Source organism: Homo sapiens, chromosome 11 (assembly GCF_000001405.40).
Source record: "Homo sapiens chromosome 11, GRCh38.p14 Primary Assembly".
In the NCBI taxonomy this organism is placed as follows: domain Eukaryota; kingdom Metazoa; phylum Chordata; class Mammalia; order Primates; family Hominidae; genus Homo; species Homo sapiens.
Window position 1 is genome coordinate 102,690,095 of NC_000011.10, and position 21,701 is coordinate 102,711,795.

At 38.6% G+C, this 21,701-nt stretch overlaps 1 protein-coding gene across 5 annotated transcripts; it reads right to left on the minus strand.

The window, feature by feature from the left end:
• Positions 1-1,392: 1,392 nt before the first annotated feature.
• MMP27 (matrix metallopeptidase 27) lies at positions 1,393-15,675 on the minus strand. 5 transcript variants are annotated; one of them, XM_017018120.2, is made up of 10 exons: positions 15,519-15,675; positions 14,443-14,681; positions 12,876-13,024; positions 12,659-12,787; positions 6,580-6,741; positions 6,277-6,394; positions 4,873-5,003; positions 3,812-3,971; positions 2,844-2,947; positions 1,393-1,916 (listed from the first exon to the last, which is right to left on the minus strand). In XM_017018120.2, exons 1-10 carry the CDS (start codon positions 15,618-15,620, stop codon positions 1,672-1,674), a joined length of 1,539 nt encoding a protein of 512 aa, XP_016873609.1. In that variant the 5' UTR covers positions 15,621-15,675; the 3' UTR covers positions 1,393-1,671. The 5 variants fall into 5 exon arrangements, with proteins under 5 accessions (XP_016873609.1, NP_071405.2, XP_011541252.1 ...); NM_022122.3 differs by having other exon boundaries at positions 6,277-6,397; XM_011542950.4 differs by lacking the exon at positions 14,443-14,681 and having other exon boundaries at positions 6,277-6,397.

Consider the following 21,701-nt stretch of genomic DNA (forward strand, 5'->3'; position numbering starts at 1 on the left):
TGCAACCTCCACCTCCCTGGTTCAAGCGATTCTCCTGCCTCAGCCCCCCGAGTACTGGGACTGCAGGCGCGCACCACCAAGCCCAGTTAATTTTCGTATTTTTAGTAGACACAGGGTTTCACCATGTTAGCCAGGATGGTCGCAATCTCCTGACCTCATGATCCGCCCACCTCAGCTTCCCAAAGTGCTGGGATTACAGGTGTGAGCCACCACGCCTGGAAAAAAAATTTTATTTAATTATATGTTTTATATAGAAATAGGGTCTTGCTATGTTGGCTGGGCTAGTCTTGAACTTCTGGCCTCACGCAATCTTCCTGTCTTGGCCTCCCAAAGTGCTGGGATTACAGGCAGGAGCCACTGTGCCCAGCCAACTTTTTATTCTTTCAATATTGTTTTTTGAAAGCAAAGGTTTTAAATGTTAAAGTTTAATTCATTCATTTTTTAATGGTTAATAGTTTTTATGTTCTACCTAAGAAATCTTTGCTTAGTCCAAAGTCCCAAAATTTTTTTAAAAAATATTTTTTGCAAGTTTTATAATTTTATTTCTTATATTTAGAGGTCTATGGCACATTTTTATTAATTTTTGTGAATAGTGTGAGGTAGGGGTCAACATTCTTTTTTCATGCATATGGATATTTGATTATTCCAGCACTATATATTTTTTTCACAAAGACTACTAACTACTACCTGCTGAGTGTTAAGCTGTACTTCTTAAAATTTACTTTGTGTTTCAAACATAGAATAACTCTTTTATGCACCTCTTCTTTTAGGCAACTGGGAACACTGAACTCCAGGGAAGTGGGGGTGGGGACCAACTGTAGGAATTTGTGTGATTTTCTATGCCTATTTTCTATCAGTTGACGTAATGCCCAATATATCACCTCATCAGAAGCAAGTTCCACTGATAATCTCCCATTTTCTGGGTCAAAAATTTTGTTAAGAGCTTTGCTAAGCACTTAACTTTGAGGGTATAATGATAAAATCAAGCCATAAGCATTTAGAAAGTCAACAAATCCATGATGGAACAAAGAGTACAGAAACTTTCTACCCATAGGCTCAGATGATGCACATATACCACAAACACAGGATGAAAATCCTCACATTTCTTGTGTCTGAAATCAGTGTGCAGAAAACTTAATTTTATATTCCCTAAGGAATGTTTAACGGCGTTGGTCAATGTTTGTGAGGCTGGGGGAACACTTCTCTCCTACTTCTGCTAGTTCCTTACTTGTCAGAGAATAACCTCTAACGTAACTCACCCTGCATCTATCCAGGCTGTCACCCTTCTCTTTGGGAGGTGGAGTAACTTACTTGATTGATGGGTTCAGAACATGCATAGGGATGAGCACTGTAGTTTATTGGGGCTCTTAAACTCCAAAGGTCCAGACAAAATAGAATGCTAAAGATTGGTTTAATAAATGTTTCAGTATTCAGTTATAAGACATGTCTTCTCCAAGTCCACAAAGCATGAAATAGGCTTAAAGTACAGTCAGAGATTTTTGTTTCTACATAATAACTTCCTATTAAAAGAATCAGGCAGCTCAAAATGGCCATTGAATTTGGATATTTAGAACTAGGACCAGCAACTTGTTGTTAAAGAATGGTTTTATTCTATTTTGAAGCAGAATTTATATTAAAAGACCTGTTGAGGTTTATTTTAGGTCTATGAATTTATTGATAAATAGAAGTGTTTTTCAGCAAATGAACAATACCAAAAATAAACAAGCTTAAACTCTTATGATACAATATCTTTATGCCTCCTGAATGTGCTTTTTCCTTGTTGATATCAAAACCAAATGAGGAGTTCTTTGGTTCTTTGCATTGAAACCAAGTATTAGTTCTCATGATTCGGGTAATATTCTTTGTCTTAATGTCGTATTCAAATTGCTTTGATCCACGGCTGAAAAAGAAGAATCCTAGAGACAGGGAATCAGGATTAGTTATCTTTCATAACTATATAATACTTCCATACTTTTAAATTTTATAAACATGGAAAAAAATAACATTATGGAGAACGAAGAAATTTGTGGAATCACATACATACATTTTAGTTTTCTACTGTCATGTGGGAAATCCTATTATTTTTATTTCCCTAAGGAGGAAGCCAGTGTTATAAAGGGTGAGTTTCAAGGGACTTTTTACCTTTCTAGCCAGACTGTGGTCTATGCCAGAGGTTTTCAAACTAGGCTTCAACAAAGTGTCTCAGTGAGGGGGAGGAAAAGGCCCCTGTGGATATGGCCTTGGTCTCTATATTCTCATTTTCTTAGAGCCGTTCTACTTTGATCTGTTTTAGGTTTTGAGGTTCTGTGTTAGATTTCATTGTAATAATAGATCATGTCACTCAAAGATATTTCTAGATTACCCCATGGTCTAGGTCATTGTCTTGGATGATATAGTTGCTGGATTGTATTCATTACATTGCCTGAGGTTCTTTTAAAACTGCAGATTCTTAGGTATCACTCACAATTCTGCCTCAAATACTTTGTTTCACACACAAACCCCAAGCTATGTACATTAAGGTACATACATTAAAGTTTGAGAATCATTGTTTTGTTCATGTGCTTAGTCACTTCGCACACTTTAGGGGGTGTCTTTACTTATCAATGATGAGTAAAATGGATTTGGTACTTTTTACATAGATTTGAGATAGTATAACAGAGAGTATAATTCAGGATTTATGGATTCAGTTTGTGATAATGTTTGTGGGGTTAATGTTTATTATTGTATATACTTAAGAGTAGCAAAATTGCATTAAAATAAAAGCATTTAAGTTTTTGTGCTGTCTTTTTTCACAGTCAACACAGTCTCTCAAGTATCCCAATAAGTGAGACATCCATGCTTACCTTTGTACTGGAAAGCAGCATCAACACGGATACTGATTCCAGGAAAGTGTTTTACCACTCTCTGCGGGAACCCTTTGTCCATGGTTTGGGTCATTTCATCAAACCTGCATACAAGAATATGAAAGGATACCAGCGGATCTTTGGTTTGGGGAGCTTAATTTGTCTACCGCACAACTTAGAGTCAAGCAGGGATGTGGGGAATACATAGGCATAGTAGAGGAAAACTAATTGGATCAATAATAAAAATACAGTAAAGATTATGTTTGGTTGAATCATTTATAGAATCTTCCAAACAAGAAATGATCAGGGAAAAAGGGCACAACATATGTTAGATTGATGCTATTCAGAGAAATCGTTACATCAGATTGAAGGCTGAGCTTGGAGCTTTCAAAATTTTTCACTAGATATGTTTGTGTCATTGGCAATTTGGTTGGGATCACCAACTTTTTATTTTATCTTATCTTTTTTTTTAAATTGAAGGAAAGTCATTAGACTCATTGAGATCTCTTTCGGCTTGATAAATGTCATCCACTGCCTTCATTATTCACTTTAAGAAGACTATGGGCTGGGCGTGGCGACTCATGCCTGTAATCCCAGCACTTTGAGAGGCCGAGGTGGGTGGATCGCTTGAGCCCAGGAGTTCGAGACCAGACTGAGAATCATGGTGAAACTCCATCTCTACAAAAAGTACAAAAATTAGCCAGGCGTGGTGGCACATGCCTGTAGTATCAGTTACTTGGGGGTTGCTGAGACAGGAGGATCTCTTGAAAGCAGGAGGTCGAGGCTGCAGTGAGCAGAGATTGCAGCACTACACTCTAGCCTGGGAGACAGAGCAAGACTCCATCTCAAAAAAAATAAAAAAATAAAAAATATTATGGATTCATTTTAATTTTGTCTGTGTCAAAGTGATGCTATTGTGAATATTTTTCTCCATAATAAAACAAAGTGTCAATTGTCTGTAAACTTACCTCCAGCACCAAATGCCCACAAAGAAGTAGGTTTTTCTTGTGGTCTTATCACAGACGGCTGCATCTATTTTCTTCACACGTCCTGGAAAACCTAATGTATGGATGGATTTGGGATAATCTGGCAAGACAGCATATCCTCTGATCATCCAGAAGTTTTCATCTAGGAAGAGAGGAGTGATTATTTATTTTCTAGAGGGAGAAATAGGTATCTCAAGAAATTTAAAAATCATTAGATACCTAGTTCCTTTTAGCTTCAGTGCTTAGAGATTTAATAATCTTATGTCCACATTCATTCCTACCACTTTCTTTAGCTGCTCATATTATTTATATTACACAAATAATATATACCTGTAAAAGTCAATAGTATGCGTACCTTTGTCAATTGGTTTCATTGCATTGATTGCTTTTAATTGGCTAACTCTGTCAAAACAATCAAGTAAGCAATGCATATATGTATTTAAACATCACATTGTACCCCATAAATATGTACAATTATTATGTCAATTGAAATTTTTAAAATGAAGTATGTTTGGACATGTTCTCCTAAGTTTCAGCCCCCAAGTGCTCTCAAAGGCTAGTAATCTGATAAGATCATGATCATTAAACAGAAAATGTCAGTTAAATTTGATTTCAAGTAAACAATGACTAACTTTTGGTATAAATAAATACAAAATATTTTAAGGGATATATATATATACCAAAAAATTATTTGTTGTTTATCTGAAATTTATAGTGTCCTATATTTTTATTTGCCAAATCTGGCAACCTTAGTAAAAAGTGAACATTAAAGACAGATTAATTACCTTTATTTGGCAGAAAAAGAGACTTTTTTAGTTTTTATCACACAGGTTTATTTTAGTCCCTGTGCAACTAGGATTGTGTTTATCTTCACAGCCACAGAGAATCCTGGTTATTTATATTCTTTACGACAGGAACCTAAGATGAGAGCAAAAGCCCTGCGCCTTGGCTCATGCATGAAGATTTTATTTCTTACACCAAAATATCCACTGGTTAGTTCAGGCAGCCAGAGGGAGAAGAGGAATCGGGATGGGCCAGGTTACCTTTAAAAACCAGAATCTTATCTCTGGGGTTCTCGTATGCAGCTTGCAGATCAGCTGGCAGAGATGGCCAGAATGAAGCAATTAATTCAAACTCAACATCCGTGATATCATAATAGATCCTCCATAGGTGCCTGTGTTAAACAAAAAACACTTTACACATGCAGCCTATTTCCATGTCAATGAGAATTTTGTAATCTTAGGCTTGCCTTTTAGCTAATTGGTTGGTATCTTCCTCAAATAATTGAGATAATTAGCATAATTTTCCCCAGTAAATTTAGGTGATTGTGAGTTCAGTTCAGTTTGGGACTTCCAAGTCCAGGACATGCCTTTGTGCCCACTCTTGGATCCGTAGAGTGGCAAACTCATCATGGAAATCTTATTCTGAGTTCTGAGTGCTCAATGGTTTTGTTTTTGCCAAAGCAGCAACACCCAACATTCTAAGCCAACACCAAGCATTCCTAAGAGGAACTTTTTGAAGCAGATGCTTGCTGGAATAAAGAAATGTAATCACTGACATGCGAAAATACTTCTTCAGAATTTCCCTTCTGGCTGCAAAATTCTGAGTCTATGAATGAGACGTGAAAAGTCCTTATATTCCATTTCCCTCCACATACAGGCCACTCCTCTGTGACATTCATGGTGGGTAGCTCTTGGCCTCTGCTGGTCAGAGAATGGTGGTGATAACATGTGATTGTAACGCGATATATTCATGGGTGAAAGGAGTCCAATTTCAAATATTCTTTCCTTTTGCCCCTATATCTTTGTCAATGGTGTATGTCTTGGTATTTTGCTATAAAAATATGGTCATGGTCTACATAACTGACACACCATGCTGTAACTTAAGTTCAATAAATTGTAGTGAGAGAAGGGATTTCCCACTACAGCTAACACTTTATTGATGCAACTTTAAGAAACGTTCAGTGAGGTGCTGACCCATGTTTAACAACTGGCTCTCCAGGTGGGAAGAAGACATGACTTTAATCATTTGCTGATTTTCAGATGTAAATACTCCAACCATGGCCAATTTCAAGCTGCCTATGTGATGTGAACTGGTTTGCAAAATTCCTGAAAATTTAACAATAGACTCCTGTAACGGAGTGTAAGTTGGCTTCAGTAGGCCACTGGGATTGGTGGACTCTTCTGGCCAAAAAGTCACTGAAAGTGGACTCTATTTCCCTTTCTTATGCAATGGCAATTTTTAAAATTCCTTAAAGACATTTAAAAATTTATCAAACAACTACAAGAGACACACATATGGTAAAGCATTCAAACAGTATAGGCAGTTATAAAATGAAGATAAAAGGCACACATTTTCACTAGCCCCATGACTACCTCTTTATCCTCAAATCTCTTGAAAAGAAAAATCTTCATAGGAAGTTGAGGTGTTTAGAGAAATGAGTTTACCTGCCTTTAAAGAACATTACTTCTCTGCGGAAAGTTGTGATAGCGTCAAAAGTCAAGTCAGGGTCACAGGCATGGGGTATAGTGGGTTCCTTTGGCTTAGCAGGTTCCTTAGGCAGACCTCCTTTGATGAGAAAAAAAATACCACAATGAATTAAGAGGGCATGAAGAAATATGCCTACACAAGGGTCTTACCTAAGTGGATATTTGCTTCATGATAATATTTCAAGAAGTGATTTTCTTAACTTCCTTTCTGAAAAGCTTCCTATTTAGTTCACATATATTGAGATTTATAATTTTGCTCACCATAGATGGACTGGATTCCATTGATATCATCCTGAGAAAGTGGGTATTTTCTGGGATCCAGGGAGACATAATTTGGGAACATCAAGGCTGTTTGATCATTGGAGTGAGAGAGCCCCAGTGCATGACCAAATTCATGAGCAGCCACAAGAAACAAGTTGAATCCTTGATAATAACAGGGAAAACACGAGCACATGACTTAATCAAAAAGAGAATGGCTGCATCTGAGATTAGAAAGTAACTAAGGGGAATGAAATAAAGGCTTGCTATACAGCAGATAATTCTCATATGTACCACCATTTATCTGGGAGGTATTGCAATGCTAATAAGTCATGTGTTGCTTAATGATATGGATATGTTCTGAGAAATGCATCATTGAGCAAACATTATAGGGTGCACTTACACAAACCTAGATGGCACAGCCCACTACACACCAAGGTTACATGGTATAGCCTCTTGCTCCCAGGCTACAAACCTGTATTGCACGTTACTGTACTGAATATTATAGGCAATTGTAGCACAATGGTAAGCAATTATTTAGCGCAATGGTAAGCATTTGTCTATCTAAACATATCTGAACATGGAGAAGGTACAGTAAAAATATGGTATAAAAGATAAAAAATAGTACAGCTATGTAGGACACTTACCATGAATGGAGCTTGCAGGACTGGAAGTTGCTCTGGGTGAGTCAGTGAGTGAGTGGTGAGTGAATGTGAAGGCCTAGGACTTACAGTACATTATGTAGACTGTATAAACACTAGACACTTAAGCTACACCAAATTAAAAATATTTTTCTTCAATAATAAATTAACTTTTGCTTACAGTAACTTTTTTACTTTATAAATTTTTTTTTTGAGGCAGGGTCTTGCTCTGTTGCCCAGGCTGGAGTGGTGTGATTACAGCTCACTGCAGCTTCAAACTCCTAGGCTTGGACAATCCTCCTCCCTCAGCCTCCTGTGCAGCTGGGACTACAGGTGCATGCCACCATGTCCAGCTAATTTTCTTATTTATTTTTGTAGAGATGGGGGTCTCACTATGTTGCCCAGGCTGATCTTGAACTCCAGGCTAAAGCAATCCTCCGGCTTGGTCTTTCGAAGTGCTGGGATTACAGGTGTGAGCCACCATACCTGGCCTAAACTTTTAAATTTTTAAAATTTTGGACTTTATTGTGACTTAGCTTAAAACACAAACTTGTTGTACAGCTGTACAAAAATATTTCCTTCCTTTGATCAGGGTCATCCGTATTACTGTCTTCCACCTCCACATCTTGTCCCACTGGAAAGTCTTCAGGGGCAATAACAGGCATGGAGCTGTCATCTCCTAGGATAACGATGCCTTCTTCTGGAATCCCTCCTGAAGGGCCTGCCTGAGGCTGTTTTACAGTTACCTATTCTTTCTTTCTTTCTTTTTTTTTGTACAAGTAGGAGTACATTCTAAAATAACCATAAGAGGTATAGTACATTAAATACATAAACCAGTAACATGGTTGCTTATTATCAAGTATTATGTACTTCACACAATTGTATGTGCTGAACTTTTATATGACTGGCAGCACGGTAAGTTTGTTTATATCAACATCACCACAAACATGTGAGTAATGTGTTGTGCTGTGACATCACTAGGTGATAGGAAATTTTCAGCTCCATCATAATCGAATGGGACCACTGTCATATCCATAGTCCATAGTTGACCAAAATATGATTAAATGGCACATAACTTTAATTGGTACTAGTCACATCATGGAAAAATATAGCCTAGGGTAAGAAAATGGCTTGAAACCGGTGTCTCAGAAATGGATAATATTAAAAAAAAAAAGAAGCCACCAGTTTGGGGTTGTTGCTAGACTACAGTATATGTGATCATGTTGCTCCTACTTCTATTCTTCAGAGGTTCTGTATTGCTATAGGATAAAGTCCAAACACCTTCACATGACCTTCCATGGTCTAGTCCCTGCCTATTTTCAGCCTTATATTTTATTTTCATATTCTGCAAGCTAACTATGTTAAATCGCTGGCATTTTTCATCTGTGTCAGGTTCTTTCTAATCTCTATGTCTTCATACCTTTGTCTCTTTGCTAATAACATATCTCTTCCACTTTCTCCTGGCTTAACTATCCTATTTATTCCCCAGGACTCCCCTCTAAAGTTATTTCCTTCATGTAACTTCCCTTATCCCTCCAGGTCTTATCCAGGTTGAGTTAAATGCATGGCTCCAGCTTCCACAGACTCAGCACTTGATTCTGTCATAGCCCGTAAGGACTGCATTGTTTGTTTCTGTCACCCTGAGTACAGGAACCATGTCTTAATTATCTTTTATTCCTAGTGATTGTGACTGCTTAATAATGATTAATGGATGTCCAAGTGTTGTCTAATGCAAAAATGGTTAGATGTGTTTCCTAAACATGACCATAGTGCCCTTTCCAGAAGTCTTACCAGGCATGTTAGAATTGCCTTTGTCTTTGTCTGCCTCTCCCACTAGTCTGTAAGGCTCTAAGTATAGAAGACCACCCTCTTGGGCCTGGCGTGGTGGTTCACTCTTGTAATCTCAGCACTTTGGGAGACCAAGGTGGGTGGATATCTTGAGCTCAGGAGTTCAAGAGCAGCCTGGGTAACATGGAGAAACCCTGTCTCTACTAAAGAAAAAAAAAATTAGCCAGGCAAGGTGACCTGTGCCTGTAGTCCAAGCTATTTGGGAGGCTGAGGTAGGAGAATTGCTTGAGTCCAATAGGCATAGGTTGTAGTGAGCCGAGATCGCACCACTGCACTCCAGCCTGGGTGACAGAGTGAGACCCGGTCTCAAAAAATAAATAAATAAATACATACATACATACATAAAGTCCATCCCTGGCTTTGCAACTAAGTGCATGGAGCCTAAGGAAAACCTCAGCTTCCCTGATGGAAATTTGCCTAGTGATGTTTGCATGAAGCAAACGTAAAAGGGCAAAGAATTATGTCATGGTCTTTGACACTTTTCTGCTCTTGCCTTTGTTGCTGCCCCTTGCCTGGCTGGCTATATCACTGTGTGTGCTTTTGGACAAGGAACTGGAAAAATGACTGTTGGGAAAAATAATTCAAGCTCAGATTTTCTAAATGAAGTCCAGATCTTTATTCTGGCTTTCAAGACCCTCTGTAATCTGAATCCTATTCGCCATTTTAGCCTTGTCTTCTACAATTCTATTCCTTATGTTGGATTGAGCTATTCTGTTCAGAACACTCCTATTCACCCTCTTCACCCTACTTTGTCTTCTTAGTTCCTGCTGAGCCTCCAGTTCTCAGGCTTGACATAGCTTCCTCTGCTGACCTGTGGGTCTGGGTTGGACTTTCTTCTGTGAGGACCTATTACATTGCCATAGTTTCCTTTATCTCAGTACTGATCCTACTGATTTTAGTTGCCATTTAATTGTCTATGTGTCCCTTAGACAGTGAAGCCCTGGAGGGCAGCTTCTGTGTCCTATATACAAGGGTATATTTCATTTTTATGACAGAGCCTGAGTCATAGTGGATGTTCAATAAATGATCATTGAGTGACTTTATTTACCAATGATTTGTAGAGTATTTCTCATGTGACAACACTGTTATTGGCCATATGACGCTGTAGGTAAAAGATGACAAAAGTCTCTGTCTCATGGAGATGTGACTAAATAGACAAATTTGTGCATTATACATTCATAGCTTTTCAAATATTTTTCCTTATGCCTAGAATGTAATTCCACCCTAGTTATCATTATCATCATCAATACTAACAATTGTCAACAGAATCTTTGATGTCAAGCACTTTCTGAGTGTTCACTATGGACAACTGCTCTGAAAGGGGTTTTCACCTTTATTAACCTAGTTAGGGTAAGGGTAATTTATTTCACCCTCCTAAAAGAAGAGCATCATTACTCTTTTACAGGCAAAGAAATAGAGAGTAAGAAAATTACTTGACTTGCCCCGGGTCCCTCAGCTGGTCAATGGGAAGCCCTGAAAGGAACCAGTGTCTGCCAAACTACAAACCATTGCTTTTTCTCCTTCCCAACACTGCATCTGTAGCAGTCTGTAAGGCCTGTTCAGTTGTTTGGTGCACACGTGTGTGCCACACACACACTCACAATAGGCTTGGCACCTGGCTTTGCTTTGAGAGACTCTCAGGAAAATCTCTGTATGTGCTTAAAGTCCTCTGACATCCCCATGCGATGACCTGTTCTTCCCGGAGGAAGCAGCTTAATAGCATCATTGGCAGATGATGTGTCTGTTGCTCTTAAGCAAGTTACACCAAGATTTTTGCCACCCTTCCATAAAACAGAGCCTCCACATTGCAATGAAAGAGGTGATCATATAGGTTATTGCTGAATTGCCTATTTTTTAAAAATTGCAATTTTGTTGGAGATTACGTTTGCTTGATATTTTATGTTTCCATTGGAGAAGAGGAAGGTATTTTCCCCTTTAATGTCAGTGAACTAAGAGTTATACAATTGGATCACAGAGGGCCCACAATTTCTACTCTGAGGGACTGAAATAAAGTGGTCAGAAGACAATCCTTTTTGGAACTGCTGCCTGGTTGCCCACCCAGAACTTGGTTGAGGACTGTATTTATCTCTTGCCTTGCTCAAGCGAGCCTTACCGATGTGGAACCCAGATACATCGGACTTAAAAAAAAATAACTTACCCCACATGTCCCCCTTGGCAGAGGGCTTAAAGCAGTATGGGTAAGAGGAACTGCTACTTAGCATTGGATTTAAGAGACAAAAGGATAGTGAAATCTTTGATCTCTGCCTCTAGCTATGAAAGTAAAGCCTGGCTGAGCAAGGGGAGTCATTCTGATTTTGGCAAGTGCTAGGATATTTCCTGTAACTGTTTGGTGAAACACACCCGCAGTGTCTTCAGACTAATACCAAAGAAATATTGAAACATGTCTCAGCAGAAGATACACAACAGACATGGTTCATTCCTTTCCTCTCTTGCTTGGGTGACAATGTTATCTTACCTCCTTCAATTTCTTGTCTGCTTGTGATGCTAAGTCATGTGGCAATGGCAGCAGCCAATCCCAGATTTTGCCTGCTGCTGCCTGAACCTCAGCCAGTACTGACTTTCGCCCTTTTCACTGGCACTTGGAAAAACAGTTGCATCACCTGTTCTGACTGAGCAGTGAGTGGCCATGGACCATTTTGTGTGACAGACTTTTAGTTTCACAGAAAGTGCAAAGCTGATCTAGACCGATTATCTGGAGATACATGGTCGGGAATGATCTGTGTCCTTGTATACTATCCATCAGGACCACTACAACCTGTGCTTTCCTGTGACTCTGGAAGCTAGACACCAGACCCAAGGTAACTATTGCCAATGACAGAACAAAAGAATGGGGGACCCAAAAATCTATTGAGCTTGCTCTTTTCTTTGAGGCCTACATTGCTACCTGTTAATATAGTACAGTTTGATATTTTTGTCAGAACAGTAGTAAAACACCTTGAATGCCAGGCAGACCCATTGAGAAAAATAAAATAAACTTACTTGGTTTGAAGAAATAAGTCAAATATAAGGATTAAGGTCTGATTCCTTTGCAGCTGGGCAAGAGTTAGAAGAGGAAGTTCATGCTTTGAATTAGAGCCTCTATGGGCTATGAATCCATATACTGTCCTTTAATTGCTAACTCAAAATTACCACCTCCCTAGAGTCTTCTTTCAATCCTCAAGCAACAGATGACTTCTGCCACTGGTACAACACAAAACATCTTCTGCCTTATATGGCAGGTATGTGGGCTGGCCTTGTGTACCACACAGGATCATGAACCTCTGAAGGCTTACACTTTTCTAGTACAACTTTGGGGTCCATAGGACACCTTGTATAGTTCCGGGCACACAGTGGCCCCTCAGACATTATGGGTGTATGAATGAATGTATAAATAATGAAGACTGCTCTGATCATAGTAGAAGTAGCCACTTTATGAGGGTGTATTGAACACTTCCATCAAGGTCATCTTGGAATATGGAAAATTGTGGGGACATTGGGAACTTTACAGTTAAAAAGCAGCTAGTTACAAAGCTATTCTTTTCAGGGATTCTTTAGAATAATAAGATTTTGTTCATAAAGAAAATTAGACTCACCTGCTCCATCCTTGGTCCAGTTTTCATCCTCATCAAAATGAGTGTCACCACCCAGACCCGGACCAGGAGGAAAGGCATGGCCAAGCACTCCCAAGGGACCATCAAAATAGCGAGGACACCGACCATGGACTGAGATACAATTTATGCGAGGAAAAAAGATCAGCTTCCTCAAATCTCCTGAGATAAAAATAGCTTTGCTCTCTGTTGAAAACCTTACCTCGAGTCCTAAAGGCAATCATGATGTCTGCAATCCCCTTTGAAATCTTGGTGAATTTTAGTGGAGTGACTTTGCTCCACACTTCTAAACCTTCTTGGATAGCCTCATCCACAGCAGCTCGTGCCATATCCGGAGTATAGTTTATTATTCTTAAAAATTAACAAAAATATGTCAATTTCTGGCTTATTCATGCATGAATATACACACATAACTACAAAAAACATTTCTAGCTTATCAATAATGTGCTGCAGTAACTTTGGTGTGGTGCAATTATCTTACAGTTGCATTAGCACTTTATTTAAATGAAATACTCTTACATATACTATAGAATTAAATTCCTTTATCTTCCCTATGAATCAGTAGTATTAACACTTCAACAAAGGAGGCTGAAAGAGGTTAAATGACTTCACTAAGATCACATCCCAAGACAGCATTTATCTCATGTACGTGTTGGCTTGTATATGAAAGTATTATAAAGACATTCTTAAAAAGAACTGAGAATCATTTTTTTGAATGGCTTGTAGAAATCAGTCTTGTGCATGTACCATATATTAAGAACTTTTTTTTTTTTGAGACAGAGTCTCGCTCTGTCCCCCAGGCTGGAGTGCAGTGGCGCGACCTCGGCTCACTGCAACCTCTGCCTCCCAGGTTCAAGTGATTCTCATGCCTCAGCCTCCTGAGTAGCTGGGACTACAGGCGCGTGCCACCAGGCCCAGCTAATTTTTGTGTTTTTTAGTAGAGATGGGGTTTTGCCACGTTTGCCAGGCTGGTCTCAAACTCCTGAACTCAGGTGATCCGTCTGCCTCAGCCTCCCAAAGTGCTGGGATTACAGGCATGAGCCACCACACCCAGTCCATATATTAAGAATCTTACATGAGAACCACAAGAATTGCTCAGGAAAAGATTTTTCTCGTTTATGTTGCCTATCTTGCTAAATTCATTTTTATCTCAAGTCCTAGCACTCAGTAAGATGAAAGAAGAACTATCAGAAAGGCTGTAGAGTGATGGTCAAGGTGACTGTCTCTGTCTCAGATCAAAGGCATACCTCATCCTCTTCCTGCCAATGAGTCAGCCTGCCCCCTTTTCCTTGAGATGTCTGAGGGAAACACCCTACTTTGCTCTGAGGGGCTCATCTGAGATTTGGCAACTCTCTCTCTCACACACACATGTCTCTGACATAAACTGGTTGTGTTCCAGGGTCTCCCCATTTTCTCTTGGGCACCCTTCATTCATGCTGTCAAGTATCTGCAGTCAGATGACAGTATTTGTTGGGAGCTTATATGATGGTGGCAGAGGCTAGAGATGAGAGCATGTCTGCTGGAGCCAGTAAGAGCTGTGTAACCTCAGCCACGGTAAATAAACTTTTGTTTCAGTTTCTCTGTATTTAAGATGGTGGTAGCAGCAGAGCCTACAGCACAGGTTTGTTGGGAAGATACCGTAAATGGAGCCTAAGATGTGCTGTGCACACAGGAAGTGCTCAGTCAATTGAATGAATATTATTCTGTTCCTTGGAAATTATCTTTATGTTCCTTTGGATTAGGCGGAAATAAGCTGGCAGAAGCATTACCTGTAGGTGAGGTTGTATTTTCTCCACCCAGGGAGGGTGTAGCCATACTGGCCCACATCAGGCACCCCACACCTGGGTGTCTTCATGATCTCAAGGGTGTTTGAGTCCAGTTTTCCAGTCACTGTCAATCCAAAAAATGCTTGCATTTCCCGAATTTTGTCATCTATGAGACTCCTATTCTTGCTTTGAACAAGATGATTCCCTTCTATTTCAAGAGAGTAGAACTGGTTGAGATATGCCTGACCAAAAAGATAAGAAAAAAAAAAAAGAGGCACAGACTACAGGAGAGCAAATCTCCATCTCAGGATAAAGCAAAATTGCCTAAAATTCCTTCTGGCAATAGGAAAGGGGAAAAAAAAGAAGTAATGAGAGAAAGTGAGGAGTGAAGGAGGAAAGAAGAAAGGAAGGACACAAAGAGGAAAATAACGAGTCACCCTGCTCTTTCAATTTCCAAGACTTGGTTGACTTATGAGTGACCAGAATTAGCCAAAGCACGCAGCTCTTAAACCTCCACAGAAGAGAATGAAGCTTCGTCTGTCTGTTGAATGATGACCTATCTTACATATTTTTGCTGTTACTTTCATTTTGGTGTTTCTTTGAAACAAGTTCTAGGATAAATAAGTGATTATCCATTTTGCACATGTATTTGCTTTAACCAAAAATAAAAAGTTAACTGAACTGATTTTTAGAGGGAATCTGTAAAGCAATGTATTTTTTTTCATACATATAGGGATTAGGGCTCCAAATTGTAGATTGGGTCCTCCTGGTTGTCTTGAAATGCTTTTATAGTGATCTCCATACCTTGCAGGGCTCTCTCCTTTCTCCTCGCACTAAACATCCCTTCATTTGTGACCATTGCTAAAAGTTATAGCAGATCCTTTCCCCCTCCCTGTGCCAGCCCTCCTCCCCAACACAATTTCCTGATATCGTCAGAGATAGACAAATGAAAAGCAGTTCCTTCTCACAAAAAAGTTCAGGACTCTTTTGCAGGAATGTGTTTTCTTTTTAGGTCCCAAGAGAATCAATAAAATAAGCTTTTTATCAATAGTCATCGATATCATTTATTAAGACAGTACCTGAGCCAGTTGCATATTTTCTTCATTTTCCGTCATCCGGACTAAGGGAAATGCAGAAGAAAATGTTATAAAGAACAAAAACAGAAGCAGAAGGCGCTTCATTCCTCTCTTTCTTCAGCTGAAGCCGGTTCTGTTAGCACAGAATTTAGAAAATAATAGTGAGACGTGGCATGAATTGGCTTGTATCATCATTTAATTAATAACAGAAAGGGACACTTGCCATAAAGTGTGTCATGATTTGCTTTTTTTTTTTTTTTTTTTTGACTGAGCTGATTTTGTAATCTTGGCCTGCAATTGTTTAGTAAACACAGTTAGTGCTTATTACTGAATTGAATATACTGGGAAGTGAGCCTCCAAGTTATTTTTTTTTCCTTGCAAAGTTTTCTTTTGAAGGCAATCTCAGAATATCTTGGTAGGATGTTATCATAAAAAGACAAATGAATCAGGAGTCAGATTACCCTTATTAACTAAGATAAACTTCAAATGTTTATTGAATTCCTACTGTTTGCCTGCCCCTGTGAATGCAATCTTGTTGGAGAATTCAGACACATACAGAAATTAATGTAGGACAAAAAGGAGGCAAGTGGGCAAATACACAGTGCAGATTGTAAAGACTAAGAAGGGCCAAAGGCAGATCATTGCTTATGAGTGTGGCCTTGAGGTTTTATGCAAGTTAAATACAGCCTGCACTGGGGCTTGCACTAGGGCTTGCTCTGGGTTTTGGAGAATGTGTAGAATTTGGATTTACAGAGGAAGGAAGAAGAAGTATGAGTGCAAAGAGGCCATGGGAAGGAGGTAACACAGCAGAAATAAGCTGCAGGAAATCTGGCCTGACTGGAACAAAATACATATGTAGACAGCTATGGAAGATGGGATGGAGGGTCTCATGGACAAGACAGCTGACTGGGAAGATGAAGAGTCATAGAGGTCATGGATGATGAAGGCCAAAATTAACATCAGAAGTGAGAATATAGTTAGTGAGAGCCTTTTGGATTAATTTCAATATATTCTTCTTTACTTGGGCTACTTTTAGATGAAGGAACAGTCTTAGTTACAGCAATGTCCTCCCTCACTTGTCCTCCCCTTTTCTTCTACCAATTATTAAAATTTTCTTCCCTTTCTTCCCAAATGTTAACTCCTCAATCGATACACCTTTCTAAATCTTCCTTGTCCATATCCTAAACAAAATTTATATGGCATAGCTGAGGAACTTATAGGATCTAAGTAGATACATACTTCCTTTGCATTTAAAGCTCATCCCAGTTATAAATCTTGTTTCAGAAATATTATTATTTACTGTTTTAATATATGTATATAGTTTAAATTGTTTAATTGGCCTCTGGAGCAATGGGATGAAGGGGAGAAGGCAGACATGATCAGGATTTGTGTTATAATGGTATTAAGTACAAGTATGCTAAGTACAAGTATGCTCATTGTATTGTTCTTTTGTGTTTTTTAAACTCTAAAATATTTCAGAACAAAATTTAAAAAAAAATAGAGTTACCAGAAAAAGGGAAGTCAAATGGTGCTATCTTGTTGTAACGAAAAAGCATCTCTCTGCCCTAACCTTTCGCTCCTTCAAGTCCTGCTCCCCAAAGGTAACTTCTTTAAATTATTTTTATAGCTTTTTATCTTTATGTTTAACTCCACATTTGTAAATAACGTGCTTATGCTACTATTTCTCGAGTTTTCAAAGTTAAATGTTATTATTAACATCTTCCTATGGAAAAGAAGGACTTAACACTCCTTCTGCTTTCCTAATTTGGTTATAGGAATGTTTAAGCCCGTAATCAGCGTTCATACAATTATGACCATGAAAATATTATTCACAAGAGAATCACGTAGTATACTATGATTACATATCCTTTTCTTTTTTTTCCCTTTTTTTTTGAGACGGACTCTCGCTCTGTCACCCAGGCTGGAGTGCATTGGCACAATCTCGGCTCACTGCGACATTTGCCTCCCGGGTTCAAGCAATTCTCCTGCCTCAGCCTCCCATGTAGCTGAGACTACAGGCATGCACCACCATGCCTGGCTAATTTTTGTATTTTTAGTAGAGATGGGGTTTCACCATGTTGACCAGGCTGGTCTTGAACTCCTGACCTCAGGTGATCCACCCCCCTCAGCCTCCCAAAGTGCTGGGATTACAGGTGTGAGCCACCATGCCTGGCCTTACATCTCCTTTCTTGTATAGCCTTTTTTCTCCGCAGTTGATAGTTGAATTGATTTTTATATGCTAATTCTTTACCAAATTCTTCCATAGAACTCTTAAACTCTCTCAGAATAACCAAACATGACAGGAAATATAGCAGCAGTTTTTTTCCCTTGAACTCATCCCTCTGAGACCCCTTGCTTGCCTTCTCCAGTCTGGGTCTGTTGTAGAACTGTCATCCTCTCATTAACCAGAAAACTTGTATTGTGTCTCTGTGTTAGATCTCTGGCTACTGGGTTTCACTTCTACCTATGTCTTGATTTACTCCCTTGTTTTGATGCAACATGTCTCTCAGGAGTTTTCTAAGAAAGAATATAAGGAAAATAAATATTCTGATTTTTTTCATACCTAAGAATGCCCTTTATTTCATCCTCACACTTGATTGGTGTATGACTGGATACAGAATTTCAGTCTAAAATAAATTTGCCTGAGAACTTTGAAGGATAATGAAGATTCCATTATTTTCCAGACTCTAGTGCTGCTGTTGAAAAGTTTTATACTCTGATTCTTGATGTTTTTCTTTTGAAAGGTTTTGGAAATCTTCTCTTTACCTAGATATTTATAAATTTTATAGTTATGCTCTTGATGTAGGTCTTTTGTATTAACATTTTTGGACAGTAAGTGGACCTTTTTTTCATGGAAACTTCAATTTAAGGTAACTTTCCAATATAGTTTTGGTTATAATTTCTTCCTATTCATTTTCTCCTTTTCTACCCATTCATTTTCTCTTCTTTCTTTCCATATCTGTTGGACCTCCTAGATTGAGTCTTTATGCTTCTAATATATCCTATTTTCTACCAACTTAACTTTCCAGCCCACCGATTGTTAATTTCAGCTAAGACATTTAATTTCCAAGAACTCTTTCCAGTTCTGAGTATTCTTTTACATTTTTAAGCTTTTTTTTTGCATTTCATTAGTGTTTTTGGACATAAAATATGTCTTATTTATTTATTTAAATAAATTACTAAATAATTAATAATACATAATTCATAACTAAATAAATAAGAAATTATTAAATAAATAAGACATATTTTACATCCAAAATTATATTCTTATATTTAATTCTTATATTTATTTATTTGTTTGTTTAAATAAACAAAAGAAGGCATACTCTGTCACCCAAGCTCGAATGCGGTGACACAGTCATGACTCACTGCAGCCTCAAACTCCTGGGTTCGAGTGATCCTCCTGCCACAGCCTCCCGAGTAGCTGGGACTATAGTTGCATGCCACCATGCCCAGCTAATATTTTTATTTTTATTTTTTTGTAGGGACAAGGTCTCACTATGTTGCCCAGGCTGGTCTTGAATGCTGAGCCTCAAGCAGTCCTTCTGCCTCAGCCTTCCAAAAGTGTTGGGATTACAGGCACAAACCACTGTACCCAGTCTCTTCTTATTTTTAAAGAATGTTAATGTTAAGTATACTTTAGTTTATTTCGACATTTTCTTTTGCTCCTACAATTGTCTCTAGTTCCTCAAAGTCTCTCCTTTGGTCTCTGTTTTTCACACTGCAATCTTTTCAAAAATATTTGGTGACTTTGTGTTGTGCAATCTGCTTAAGAATGAGAGGCAAGAAAGCAGACTGGAAGCTCTCATGTGTAGAGGCAGGGATGGTGAATTGATGACCTTCACTGCAGGGAGGTGGGGCACTTCCCACACCCTTCATGTGATGTATTAGTCAGGATGAGATTTGGTTGAATGTAACACAAAAACCCAAAATAACAGATGCTTAGTTAAATAAAAATGTATTTTTGCCTCACATTAAAAAAAAGTGCCCAGATTTGGAAGCCTAGGGTTTGTTTGACAGCTCCATATCATCAAGGGTAGGCAACATCTACCTTGCTACACCACTCTGTCAGTACAATGCCTCATGAGTCAGCTGCCTTCTCAACCTCTAGCCATTACATCTGCATTACAGGCAGAAAGAAGGAGGAAGGCAGAGAAAAAGTAATTTTCCAGTCCCTTTCCAGAAGCCCCACACAACATTCTGCTTACACATTTTGGCTAGAAATAAACACATGGCCATATCCAGCTGTAAGCCTAGCTGTAAGCAAGGCTACAAAATATGACGCATTGCTACCTCAAATGAAATTGGAGTCTCACTGCAGAAGAAGTGTAGACTGAAGGTTAAGATAGGTCATTAGCAGCCCTGCCACACTGAGATTTCTCCAGTGTTGGTATCTGTAATTTCTTTTTTTTCTGAGGCTGGTAAGTTACTCCAGAGAAAGCTCATCCAATTTCCCATCATTTAAATCTCCAAGGAACAAAGCTGTAGGAGATTCTTCTGATGTCCTCTGCCACATACCCACAGCATTAATTTAGTTGCACAAGGGGTGGACTGGTTTGTGTAACTCACTTTGCTCTGACAAAGTGCAAAAGTAATTGTGGTTACTTTTGCACCAACCTAATACAACTTTAAGCACAGACTGTGTGTCTTTTTGCTTTCTTCCCAGAGCATTGAGATGCCATCAAGCCTTCCAGGTCAGCATGACAGTACAGCCTGGAAGTGTAAAGAAGTTAACACTCTCAGGGAACATCCTCATCCAATGGGGAATGGAAACTGAAGGATGAATGTTCCAGCCTCCTGCTCACTGGAGATGTGAACGACTGGAAGCTGGTCTGCAGGCTTCTCAGAGGCCCCTGGTGGAATTGAGCTTCAATTGCCCATAGCAGAAACCTTGATAACACATAATTGTATTGGCTTTTCCTCATTCTTTGACTCACTCTTCTTGCTACCTCACTCTTGCTTCCTGGGACTGTGTCCTGAAAATATAATTGCACCAATGTCTTGACTTAGGCTTTGCTTTTGAAGAATCTCAACCTAAGATAAACATGAATCTCATTGTTTAAATTCTAGCTTAGGCAGGGTGGCATGGTGGCTCAAGCCTGTAATCCCAGCGCTTTGGGAGGCCGAGGCAGGAGGATCACTTGAGCCCAGGAGTTTGAGACAAGCCTGGGAAATGTAGTGGGACCCCACCTTTACAAAAGAAAATAACTGAGTGTGGTGGTGTGTGCCTGTAGTCCCAAATACTTGAAAGGCTAAGGTGGGGCATTGCTTGAGGCCAGGGGTTTGAGGCTGCAGTGAGTTGTGATTGCACCACTGTACACCAGCCTGGGTGACAGAGCAAGACCCTGTCTCAAAAATAAATAAATAAACAAAAAATAAATAAATGCATTCTAAGCTTAGGTCTTTATATCTCTTGTGCCCATTCAAAATATCAATGTAATAGCTGGAAAATACTACATGTTGTCAACAAGATAATTTTTTTAAAAGGAATAACTCTGAATTCTTTATTACACTTCATATTACAGTTTACTGTCTATGACTCTGTCAAATGTGGTTAAAAAATAGTATGAGATCAGTCCTCATCTCAAAGATGTATAGATGAGGTTTGAGCCAAGAGTCTATCATAGCCAGCACAACTAGCAGGTGTTCTGAGAAGATAAGACACTCATTTTCATGCCTGCATTTTCCTAAAACTTTCATAACTGGCATTATAGAAAGTTTTAGGAAACATGATAGTCTGAAATTGATGCTACTATTAAAAATGGAATATTCAATTCTTATAGATCCTTTTGCATTTGTTACGTTGATATGATGAATCGCTTATACATCTCTCTCACTTTTCTTAGCACAGTCCCTGAAACATAATTAATAGTAGGTAGGTAGTTAATTCTTGCTGAATAAATCAATGAATGGAATGATAATATATACTTGTTTCAGTTTTCTTATTTTGTAAAATAATTTGAGAATAATGTATTAACATACTTGAGGAAATTTTTGAGGACCTCAAATATTTATAAAATATTTCACACACTCTGAAGCAATATCTAAAGTTTATTATCAATATTATAATAATTCTGACACAAGCATTATATATCTGCACAACATCTAAAATTTGCTATTCCTTTTTATACTTTAGATGAATTATGTGGTAACATTTTAAGAAATTAAAAGCAAATCACAAATCAG

Coding starts and splice junctions, on each gene's coding strand:
- MMP27 (NM_022122.3), bottom strand. CDS start 15,620: ATGAAGCGCCTTCTGCTTCTGTTTTTGTTCTTTATAACATTTTCTTCT. Junction 6,398..6,579: donor TGGAATCCAGTCCATCTATG/GTGAGCAAAATT, acceptor TTCTCATCAAAG/GAGGTCTGCCTAAGGAACCT. Junction 5,004..6,276: donor GTAATGTTCTTTAAAGGCAG/GTAAACTCATTT, acceptor TGTTTAACACAG/GCACCTATGGAGGATCTATT.